Source organism: Homo sapiens, chromosome 2, assembly GCF_000001405.40.
Source record: "Homo sapiens chromosome 2, GRCh38.p14 Primary Assembly".
Taxonomy (NCBI): domain Eukaryota; kingdom Metazoa; phylum Chordata; class Mammalia; order Primates; family Hominidae; genus Homo; species Homo sapiens.
In genome coordinates, this window is record NC_000002.12 from 102,209,629 (window position 1) to 102,222,482 (window position 12,854).

Here is a 12,854-nt window from a genome sequence, read left to right on the forward strand (position 1 = left end):
GGACTGTTTATGCATAGGCTTTACCATGCAGCCACTGAAGGGCCCTGGGACGGTGCAAATGCAGAGTCATTGGGCTGCATTTGTGATGGGAGACATCAGTATTGAGATGATTTGAAGCCAGAGTTGAAGAGGGCCTGGCAGCTTGGAGACCACTTAGGAGGCTGATAAAATATCCAAAAGAGTGCTGATAGTCTCAACTTGGGAAGAGGCCATGGGGGAGCTCTCCTTCAAGCAATCATTTAAGAACTCTTTGCTGAGTACTGAACAAAGCTAGGTTCTGTGCCAGGCAGAGAGAACATGGTGGTGAAGAAAACAGCCACCCCCACTGCTCTGATGAAGCTTGAAGGCTGAAAGGAAGGCAGAGAATAATCAGATAATTCACTAATAAGATGTGTAATTATAGGGAAGATGAAAGCGTGAAGGAAAGGAAAAATCTGAGCTCAAACAGACCAGGGCCTCGTGAGAAAGCAGTGGCTCAGGGAAAGCTTTCTGATAATAGTGATGCTGATGGTCAGGAAGCATTATGTGGATGATGGAGTTGGGGAGATTTTTTTCCAGACTGAGGAAGTAGCAAATGTGAAGACCCTGGCACAAGAGGGAACTTGGAGTATCTGAAGAGTAGAAAGCAGGGCTAGAGTGATCCTGAATGAGAGAAATTATGGCAGGTGATGAGGTTGGGTAAGTAGTCGGGGGCCAAGATCAAGTAGGAACCAGCAATTCAGAGTAAGTAGTATGAATTTTATTCTAAGAACAATGACAAGCAGCCAGACAGATCAAAAGCAGGAGAGTAGCATGAGTTGATTTTCATTTCTGAAACAGCAGACTGGCCGCTGTGCACAGAATGATCCATTCCAGGGTGGATCAGAAGTGCAGGTACAGAAGCGCAGGTAAGGCATGAAGGCACAGGTAACATGATGTCATTGAAGATGGAGAGATATGGATGGGTTCAAGGCACCTTAAGAGGTAAAACCCACAGATTTAGTGTTGGACTGAATATGGGGAGAAATATGGCAAGGTCAAAAAAGTTAACCAGGCTTTTTGACATGCACTATTGACTGGATGGTGATGCTATTCAGTGAAGGAAAATGGCTCTGGAGGAAAACCAGATTTAGGAGTGAGATCATGAGTTTGGTCATTGCTACGTTGAGTATGAGGTGCCTTTGGATGGTGGAGGTCCAGAGTAGGTCATGGCCTGTATGGGCATGGAGCTTAGAGGAAGGACTGGAGACATGACCTTCAAAGTCATTGGCCTTGAAATGATATTTGAAGTAGTGGGTGTGAATGAGATTGCTTAGGAAAATAATGGAAAATAGAAGGCTTAGAAGTGAAGAAAAAGACAGACTGAGAAATGAGGAGGCAAAAGTAGTTGAATTTGGTGATTGACAAGTTGAAGAAGGTGAAAGAAAAGCTGTTGCCTAGAATGGCTTCTGGATTTTACATGTGTGTGATCTAGTGGGTGATGATACATTAACAAGCTGGGGATAACTTTTGTTTGGGACATGCTGCATTTAAATAGTTTGTGGAATGCACATTTATTATTGCCATCATAAAAGATATGTATTTTTGCATTTTTCTTAGCTCCTCTCTTACAACTTTTCCATATCCCACTCCAAATATATAGGAGGAATACTGGAACTAAGTAGGTGATCGCTAAATTTTGGCAGACAAATGGGAGAGGAAAGAAGTAGAGAAAGACTGAGGGGCAGGGAGTCCAGGGAGTCAATACAGGGAGATAATGCTAAAGTTTGGTGGTAGGATGAAAGAGTTAGAATAATAGTAGAAGAGGACGGGATATAAAATAATATGGAAATGCAGAGTTGGAGGAGGAAGAGGAAAACTGAAGATATGATGAACCCTCACAGATCCCTCATCCAACTTTGACAATTATCAACTTCTGGATAGACTTTTTTCATCTTTACCTCTACCCATTCCCACCAGTTCCCAAGATTATTTTAAAGTAATTCAAAAACATGATATGTATTTTTCCATCTACATAACATTCTTATAAGGACAAAACTATAGAAATAGGAAACAGATTAATGGTTGCCATGGAACAGGAACTGCATGAGGGAGTTTTTTGAAGGTAAAACAAGAGGGTTACTATTTCTCTCAAGCTAGCACCTAAGCCAGGCCTTTGTCTATAGCCACTGCCTGCAAAGTGTTTTTGGATTATTAAGTATTGAGATTTTATTATAAAAGCTTATTAGTTTATATTATAAAGAATATAGTTTATGGTTTATACCAAAATATGGCCAAAATGAACTCTCTTGATAGCTCAGCTTCTAGCTTATTTTTTTTTTCTTTTTTGGCAATTCAGTTACTTCTGGTTGAAAATGTGTATTTATGGAGTGAGATTTTGACCAGAGCTTATTGATGGTCTGCTCTGTTGGGCTTCATGCTATTACATCAAAGTACTTGGGAATGTATCATACGTGATTCTAATGCAATTTCCTGTGGGTATGATTTCTTAGCAGAAAGAGCTGGATATGGAGGAAGTGTCCCTAAAATCATTTATCCAAAAAATCATTCAATTGAAGTACAGCTTGGTGAGTAAAATTATTGAAGCCATTGAAATCACCAGGGGAAGAGCTCATTATGTTTGCATATTCTGGTGAATATTTTGAATGTTAAGGATGAAGATAAATCCTATACACACCCAGTTTCCAGCTTTGGATATACGTGAGCTCATGGGGAGAGGAATCAAAATAAAACACCAGAGAGCCGAAGCATGGAAAAGTTGTGGTAGCAGAGAAGTCTGGCAATGAGGACTATGGGCCCAAAATGATTATTATAAATCTGTTTATGCAAAGGCAATGAAAATGCAAATAATTCTTCAGACAATACATAATATAATATAAAACTACTATTAAATAATGTTGACCAGGAGTTCTGGATTATATTACCTCACAATGCAAGATATATTACAGGAGTGAAAAAAATTATGATGTTATATTCCTTAATCTATATGGAAAAGGATCAATAAGCATTGCCTCAATTTGTGATCTAAGTAGATAAAAAGGCATCAAATTACTTTTTAAATTAAAAAATAATCACTAGTGGCCAGGCACGGTGGCTCACGCCTGTAATCCCAGCACTTTAGGAGGCTGAGGCAGGCAGATCATGAGGTCAGGAGATCAAGACCATCCTGGCTAACACGGTGAAAACCTGTCTTTACTAAAAAATACAAAAAATTAGCCGGGCATGGTGGCAGGCGCCTGTAGTCCCAGCTACTTGGGAGGCCGAGGCAGGAGAATGGCGTGAACCCGGGAGGCAGAGCTTGCAGTGAGCCGAGATCGCGCCACTGCACTCCAGCGGCGACAGAGCGAGACTCCGTCTCAAAACAAAACAAAACAAAACAAAACAAAAAAAATCACTAGTAAAATAAATATGTTGTATTACATCTGAAAAAAAAGCAAATTAGACAAAAATCTCAAGATCTCACAAAATAGAAAGTTTTATGTGTCTTAGTGTATCAAACTATATAATGCTAAAAGTCTCAGAAATACAATACAACAAAACAACACAATTGTTTCAGTTGTAGGGGGAGATTTTAACATACTCTTGCTTTGAGAAATTTACTAGGAAAGTAAGAGTCTACATGGTTCGAGGAATATAGTAAAAGTAATGTGTCTAATACATAGATCACTCTCAGAAACATCTATGAAAAACCAGAGTCCAAAAGAGGAAATTGTACAGATCATGGGGTATAATAACGATACAGTAAATGTAAAAATTTATATCTAAACCAAAACAATAAAATAATCGCACTTAATAAGTATGTGAAGTGACGGATTTGTTAATTAGCTTGATTTAATTATTCTACAATATAAACATATATCAAAACATCACATCGTACCCATAAATATATGTAATTATTATTTGTCTATTAAAACTAAAGAAAAATTTAAAAACTTAAACAACAACAAAAAATCTCTTAATTATTTGCATTTTTGATTAGAGAGCCAAAGCCATAGTTAAAGAATATTTAGAAAATAATGATAGTGAGAATACGTCATATCAAATTTCATGGCATATGACCAACTCTAAACAAGTTTATATCTTTAAATAACATTATTATTAGTAAGTGTGGAAATAATTAAAATATACAACTAACCATTTGACTCTATAAAAGGACCAACTAAACAACAAGAATAGAAGTAGAAAATAATGAATTTATTAAAGGAAAATAAACTAATAGAATCTGTCCCAGAGTTGGTTAAGAACAGAAGAGTTGAGGTGGGGGTTGGGGAGAAAGTTAAACTTCCAGCAAATCTAATCCCCAAAGTGCAGAGACACCCAAATATAAAAAAATTAGAAATATGGGAAAGCTTATATAAAACAACAAATGGTAAGAGATAAAATCTGTTTAAATGCCTCTAGGCCCATATGTTTTTAGGATAATTCTTTTAAACTTTCAAGGAAATAATAATACCTATAATAAAGGATAATTGTCTACACATTACTCATTATGTGAATAGTCTTAAAAGACAAATTTGGCTGTTTTATCTCTCTTAATTGACTTTCTTTCTCTACTCCTGTCTTTGGAAATTCTAGCCAATGTATTTAGACAATTAAAAGGCAAGAGAAGGAGTTTTGGAAGTCTTGGAGGGAGGAAGATAAACATAACTTTTAAAACATGATCTACTGGTTTCTACTTAGAAATTTTGAGAAAATTAAGTAAAAAACTATAATCACTAGCATTTTCTTATTAATGTTATTTTAATACAAAATAAACATTCAAAGCTAATAGCATTTTTACATGCCTGAAATAGCATATATTATGTAATCAGGGAAAACAGCATTCACAATTGCAATACAAGAAATAAAACAGTAAGGAACAACTGAACAAGAAATTAGGAGGACTTGCCTACATGATTAAAAATGCAGCATTTTATCATTTTATAGATGGAACATAAAAGAATATGTGTTTTAGTGAAATTTCAAAAGATGTTCCTAAATAGAAACACTCAGTATTAAAAATGTTATTTCTCTTAGATTAATATACAAGTTTAATATAATACCAATTAAATTACCAAATATCCTAAAACTTGTCAAAACATGTCTAAAATTTCTGTCAAAAATGCTGGAAACAGTTAGCCAAGAAAAAATTGAATAGAAGAAAAAAGAGCCATTTCCTTGTAAGTATTAAAATATATTATAAAGATAGAGATTATTAGTATGTCAACAAAATTGCTGACTAGGGGCTCCTAGCACTAATTCCCGTACAAAAGGGCCAAAATATAAAATAAATAGCTACATTTTGACTAGCGTGTCTGAAGGAGGGCGCTGGAGTGCAGCATGGAAATGATGGAATCCCTGTGGAGCACAGAAACCCAGGATGGCAGCATAGAGAGGGGAGGAAATCACCCTTTCTCTGTCACTCTGTTTCCCCCACCAAGATTGACTTGGAGCCAAGAGAAACTTCTCTTTGCAGGGAAAAGGTAAGCAGAAGGCCTCTGCCACCTTCATTATTACCACAGACACCTGCAGTTCTTGCTACAGAAGAAAGCTGCAGTCCTCACAGGTCCTGAGCCCAGTTTGGGGAGCAGCCTGGAGTTCTCATGGCTATATTGCTCCAGTGCAGGAAACTACATTGTGCATACCCTTATCCCCTATGACCCATGCTGCTACATCATGCCACTGTCTTGGAATTATAGCTACTGCTAGAGTGAGTCCTGTTCTGGGGGCCAGTAGCCACTGCATCTCTCCATCCCCAATGCTTTCCCGTCATTTCACCATGTTCATACAGGTGGCTACAACTCCAAAATCCTGGTTACTTAGAGTATGGGCCCTATGAAATTACTGTGATCCTGGTTCCCAAATGCACATGGTGCCCTGCTTCCTGTATGGACAGGCAGTCCTGCACAACTGGGGAAGCTTTCCCTAGCCAGCAGACCTACTCTGCTCACCCTCATACCCATGAGGGTGTACATACTCACCCTCATCCTGAGAACCAGCCCAGTAGCCCTGCACCTGGCAAGACGACACCCCTTTTCCATTGGACCTACTGTGTGTGCACACACACCCTTGGCCTGAGAACCAACATGGTAGCCCAGCACCCTGCAAAGCCATGCCACTGCCAGTACAAACTCCTGCAGCCTAGGCCACTGAGACACTCAAAGATACTGCAGATGTGGATTGTAGCTGAAGAAACTGCATGAAGACTACACTTCTGTCTCTGTCTAGAACCAAAGCCAACATACCTTATCCAACTGACATGCTAGGATGCATCTACAGAAAAAGTCTTTCTCTAATAAAGCTACTTCATAAAATTAGAAGAGGTGACTGTTGCACCAGAAGTGCAGCTATCAACATAAGGACACAAGAAACATGAAAAAACAGGAAACATGAAAAAACAGGAAACATGATACCTCAAAGGAGCACAATAATTCTCCAGTAACAAACCTCAAAGAAAATAAGATTTGCTAAATGCCTGAAAAGGAAGGAATCCAAAATAATGATCTTAAGGAAACCCAGCTAGATACAAGAGAATACAAGCAAATAATTTAATGAAATCAGAAAAACAATTTATGATCTGAATAAGAAATTCAACAGATAGATATTATAAAAAAGAACCAAAGAGAAGTCTGAGCTTAATAATTCAATGAATGAAATAAATGCAATTGAGAATTCAACAACAGAATTCAACAATCTAGTGATCATTATATAATGACCTTCTTTGTCTCTTCTTATAATTTTTAACTTGAAGTCTATTTTATCTGATGTAAGTGTAGCTACTCCTGCTTGCTTTTGTTTTCCATTTGCATGGAATATCTTTTTTTCATCTCTTCACTTTTCGTGTATATGTATCCTTACTGGACCTACTGTGAGTCAGTGAGTAAGTGAGTCTCTTTTAGGCAGCATATAGTTGGTTCTTGTTTTTTTCTTTTAATCCATTTTGCCACTGTATGTCTTTGAATTAGAGAATTTAATCCATTTACATTCAAGATTATTATTGATTGGTAAGAACATGACTCCTGACATTTTGTTATTTGTATTCTGGTTGTTTTGCAGATCCTTTGCTTCTTTCTTTCTCTCTTGTTTACTTTTGTGGTTTGGTGGTTCTCTGTAGTCCTAAGCTTTGATTCCTTTCTCTTTTTATTGTGTATCTGCTGCAGTTTCTATCATTGTGGCTACCATGAGGCTAAAATAAAGACTTTTATGGTTATAATAGGCTATTTTAATCTGATTACAATTTAACTTTGGTCACATAAAAATACCCTTGACTTTTATTGTCCCCCTAACAGTTTATACTTTTGTTGCCTTAATTCACATCATTATACATTGCGTGTTCTTTAATAACCAATTGTGTCTGTAGTTATTTTTGACCATTTTGACCTTTAAACTTATTACTAGAGTCTTGAAAGATTTACATAGCGCCATTTCAGAATTGAGATATTCTGAATTTGATTTTGAATTTATCTCTACTGGTTAGTTTTCACATGTTTTTATGATGGTAATTATCACCCTTTCACTTTCAGTTGCAGCATTTCCTTAGGGATTTCTTGTAAGGCTGGTCTAGCAGCAATGAATTCCCTTAGTTTTTGCTTGTCTGGAAGGGACTTTATTTTTCTTACATTTCTGAAAGATAGTTTTGCTGGGTATAGTATTCTTGGATAGCAGTTTTTATTTTTGTTCAGCACTGAATATAATATCCTTTGTTCATGAATTGGAAGAATTAATATTGTTCAAATGTCCATCCTACTGAAAGCAACTTACAGATTCAATGCAATCCCTACTAAAATACCAATGACATTATTTTGACAGAAAGAGAAGAAACAGTCCTAAAATTTGTATAGGACCATAAAACACCCTGAATAGCCAAAGCAATCTTGAGAAAAAGACCAAAAGGCCCAAAACCAAAAACAAAGCTGGAGGTATCACACTACCTGACTTCAAAATATACTAAAAAGCTATAGTAATCAAAACAGCATGATGTTAGCATGAAAACAGGCACATAGATCAATGGAGCAGAATAGAGAGTCCAGAAATAAGTCCACAAATCAACAGCCAACTGATATTTGACAAAAGTGCCAGGAACACACATTAAACAAGTAACAGTCTCTTCAATAAATGGTGATAGGAAAATTGGATATCCACATGCAGAAGAATGAAACTAGACCCCTATCTTTTAACATATTCAAAACTCAACTTGAAATGGATTAAAGACTTAAATATAAGCCTGAAACTATGAAACTACTAGAAGAAAACATAGAGGAATTGCTCATGACATTGGACTGGGCAAGATGTTTTGGATAAGATCTCAAAAGCACAGACAACAAAAGTTAAAATAGACAAATGGAATTACATCAAACCAAAAAGCTTCTGAACAGTAAAAGAAACAATCAACAGAGTGAAAACATAATCTACAGAATGGGAGAAAATATTTGTAAACTGTGCATCTGACAAGGGGTTAATATCCAGAATATAGAAGGAACTCAAACAGCTGAATAACAAACAAACAAACAAAAAACAAAAAACAGAACAACAAATAATTTGATTAAAAAATGGACAGAAGACATTGCTTCTGGGATTCAGACAATATCCTGTTTTCTTGATGAGGTGAAAGTGTTACAGATATTTGCTTATGATAATTCATTAACTTGATATTTCTATTCTATACTGTTTGGTACATGTGTGTTATATTTCACAATCATTTTTTAAAAAAATATCATTTAGAATAAAGAACACTCCTTGAATGTTAGAATTTACTAAGCTCATGGGACAAAGTCCACTGAGACTATAAATTGATGAAATTTGTGAATGTGTGTAGAGGCAAGATAAGGGAAAGAGAGGGAAAGGGTGGGGGTTACATTTGGTGAAGCAGAAATATCACTGGATTTGGTGTTAGAAATCTAGAGTTCATATTTCATTTCTTCCTCTAATTAATTTGGGCAAGTCACTCAATCTATCTGAACTTCAGTTTTTGCATCCTTAACATGAGGATAATAGCCCCTCCCCTTTTCCTGCCTTGTAAGATTGTTTTGAAGATTCAAAGACTGAAGGATAAAATGCATAAAATACTTTGTGAACTGTCAAGTTCTTTGCTAGTGTTACTAGGAGTAGAAATAGCATTTGTGTACCTGATGATGTTTGGTAATGCATGTGTGTCCCTTTACAATGGTTGTCCTGGAAGGCCACTTGCCCCTTGTGGTCTCTCTCCAGGGAAAGAAAAAAGTAGATTAACATTTGCCTAGGGGGCTATTTCTGGTAATCAAAAGGTATTCGAGGCTCGAGAGTACGATGCACTTGTAATCCAGATGTTAACAAATTTGAAAGTTTGTAGAATTTTCATTGAATATTGATGATATTGGTTTTTTTTAGGTACCACTCTGATTGTGGACTGCAATGTAACAGACACCAAGGATAATACAAATCTACGATGCTGGAGAGTCAATAACACTTTGGTGGATGATTACTATGATGAATCCAAACGAATCAGAGAAGGGGTGGAGTAGGTGTTTTGCTTTTTTGACTTCTCTAAACGCTAGCAAGGATTTCTCCATCTAAGTGAATCTGGTATCACTACTGCCTTCTCCTCTTGTTTTTGCCTCTCAATGATTCATGTTATCAATCCCACCTATCACATAGTTAGGGAGATATGGTAAAAGACCAGGTATCCCTGAGAGCAGTAAGATCCATTTCTCTTAGCTACTACTCAAAATTAGTCCCATTTCCATTCAGTTATATCATGAGCCATCGGCCTTCAAAGCTTAATGCCCCGGGCATACAAAGCAAACACTGGAAATGACACAAATGTGTATATTGCAACAGTAGAAGAAAGAAATAGTAGTATAGTTCTTTGCTATACTAAACAAGCGCCAATGGGGACTCTTAGGGAAGACAGTGCATAATCATTAGCTAATTGAATGGGTATAAACTCAAGTTATGGTGGTATAAATGGAGTGGTGTAAATAAAACTAATGAAGTCAGAGGGCAGGAGAGCTTGTGTTGGGCCTCGCAGTATGGATAAGTTAGGATACTTGGAGAGGAATAGGGGAAAGGCCTTTGGGGCTGAGAATGGTGTCTGTAGCTAACAGAACCATACTTCCTTGTCACCATGCAGAAGAAAATGCAAATTTGGGAATATACAATCTACAAACCTCACTGGGCCAGTCAGCAAAGTATTTTTAGGATAACATGATGGCCCAAAGTGTTCTCAAAGAAAACACTTTATCTCCAGAAAACAGATTATAAAATATGTTGGGTAAATCTGACTCATGTATTAATGACTTACTCTTTTCTTTTATAGAACCCATGTCTCTTTTCGGGAACATAATTTGTACACAGTAAACATCACCTTCTTGGAAGTGAAAATGGAAGATTATGGCCTTCCTTTCATGTGCCACGCTGGAGTGTCCACAGCATACATTATATTACAGCTCCCAGGTAATACTCCAGTGGGTTACACACTGTTCAGAGTGTTCAAAACGATGGCCAGGAAACACATCTGAAGGAGCAGTGACTCTAAATGCTCAGTGTGAGGCATGAGGGTGATATTAAAGGGACAAACTCAGTATGAAATCTAGGGAAAATCTCATGCAACAGCTCATAATGTTGTTGGAGTGAGGCTGTGATTTTATTGCAGTATATTTTGAAAGTGCCATATTTTCAATACATCCAGATTTTATACATCAAAACAGAAAGAAAACAAAAGCTTTTCTTTATTAAGCGTGATTGCCAAATGTTTTGCTTTTGATTTTCAACTTTTAGATTTAGTATAAATAATTTGATATAAAGCCAAAATGCCTATGTATATTTTTACCATGGAACTTTGTAAAATTATCTGTAGAGGCTGAATTCTGATATTTAAGCAGGAGGGCTTCCAACTCAATGTGTGTATACGAATTGCACTCTGAGTACCGTACAGAACTAATTGATTATGCATTGGAAGTAATAAAGTCAGTGAAAAGATAGTGGAGGGTGAAGCCAGAATCAGGAGAACAACTTTAAATTCGTAACCTATCAGGGGAGGTGTGTGAAATACCTTGCAAAATGCTGTGTGGTTTACCAAGACAGTTGTTCTTGATTCTATTAATATCATTAGTGTATGTGTGTGTGTGTGTGTGTGTGTTTGCACACGCACGTGTGTGGCTAGCTACATGCAAGAGAGAGGACTTGAATTTGCTGATGTCCTTTAATGATCAGTTAAACCTATGCTTGCATACATCAAGCTAAAGCCCCACCAAATATTTTTCTAGAACCTAACAGAAAACACAGTGGTTGCTGTATGGAGTTAGCAATCGTGCCTTTGCCCCTGCCAAGCTCCTGGCCTCCTAAGTGCCCGTTACCTCCCTTAGAATTGCAGTGAATAGGGATCTGTGCGTGGCAGCTTGCAGCTCTGGGTGTGCACATTCTCTGCTTCACTTCTGTGTCCTGAAGGCCAGTGTCGTTCTGGCCTCAGCTGCCTTAACTGTGAGTGAGCACAGCACCCTCTACTCACCCTGAGCACATGGGGAATCCTTCTTGGGTTGCAACATGTGGAAGGACCCTTGGGTTCATCTGTCACCACTGCCCATTTTTTCTCTTCTCACTGGCTTTTCTTTGTCATAAAGCATCCTTCTCCATCACTTTCCCCCAGTCAGTCTTGTGTTTGCCATCTCTCTCTCTCTGGTACCTCTAAGAGGTTCATCATCTGTGCTGCTTTTCTTTCTGTGTCCTCATCCCTCAAATCTCTTTCCCCTTTATGGCATCAACTGTCATTCCTGAGCAGGTGCAAACAGGTTCCATATATTGAGCTGTATACTGTCTTCCCCCATGACAGCTCTGCGTTTCCAGCTGTGTAAGGGACTGCAGATACACTGGCTGATGTCAGAAAGCATGTTTAAACTCTCCAACCTCCTGGTTCTGTTTTTTCTTACCTTTGTTAGTGGGACTCCTGTATCTTCCACGTTGTTCAGGCTCAAAATCTGGGGTCATTTTATGCCTTCCCTTATCCTCCCTCATGCCAACACCCAATGAGTTGCCAAGCTCTGTGGATTCCTCCCCTCCTGCCCATTCCCACTAACGAGCTGGATGGTAGGGTGACTCCTGCCCTACACTTTAAGGTCAGGTTTTCAGGCTCAGATCCTATCTTGTCCACTTAGGAGCTGGGTGAGGACAGCATTGTCACTCAACCTCTCTGTGCCCATGTCTCCTCATCTGGGAAATGAGGAGGATAGCGACTTCCTTCCACGACTGTTGTAAGAATCAGCTGGAATTTTCTTTTATACTTTTTTATTGTGGAATATAATGCATATATGTGTTATAACATATGCACATATATGGTAAAGGAACACAGAATTTCTACATCACATAACAAGTCATTGTATAGCAAACACTCATGAAACTACCACCTGGATTAAGAAAAATGCATTGCCTGAAAAACTCCTGGATGTTCTTCCCTGATCCTCCCCTCCTGATAATCATCCCCCCAACTTTTAGGAAAGTCGTTTCTTTGATTTTCTATCTATGCTGATAGTCCTAATAATACAATTTATTTTTGCCTGTTTTTGAGTTTTATATTAAGAGAAGTATATAGTATGCTTTATTTTCTTAGGTGTGGGGGCTTATCAGTGTATCACTGATATAGCATGTAGCTTAGTTCATTAATTTACGTTGCCGTATCCTAGTCCATTGAATAACTAGGTCACAATTTATCCACTGGGCTATAAATATGTGGTTTGCATTGTTTTGAGTTTGGAACTCTTAACAAAGAATACTGCTATGGAAATTCCTGCTTGTGTGTCTGTGTACCCATGTAGAGGCATCCCTCCAGGATATATCATGAAGAGTAGAGTTGCCAGGTAAGAGTCTGTCATTAACATTTCTATATAATGCCATACTGTTCTACAATGTGATTCACCGATATTTAC

General features: G+C 37.7%; 1 protein-coding gene across 19 annotated transcripts in view; it reads left to right on the forward strand.

Moving 5' to 3' along the window:
- Positions 1-12,854, forward strand: part of IL1RL2 (interleukin 1 receptor like 2) — a 56,114-nt gene that overhangs the window by 22,656 nt on the left and 20,604 nt on the right. For 10 of the 19 annotated variants that reach the window (XR_923053.3, XM_017005174.3, NM_001351449.2 and 7 more), the window contains 3 exons: positions 2,472-2,546; positions 9,325-9,454; positions 10,253-10,389. Coding sequence is in view for 16 of the 19 variants with exons in the window: in XM_017005174.3 (XP_016860663.2) it covers positions 2,472-2,546; positions 9,325-9,454; positions 10,253-10,389 (342 nt within the window). In the remaining 3 variants the exon portion in view is untranslated. Of the gene's footprint in view, positions 1-2,471; positions 2,547-9,324; positions 9,455-10,252; positions 12,786-12,854 lie in introns of all 19 variants that reach the window. The other 9 variants (NM_001351448.1, XM_011512093.2, XM_047446165.1 and 6 more) reach the window with 3 other exon arrangements.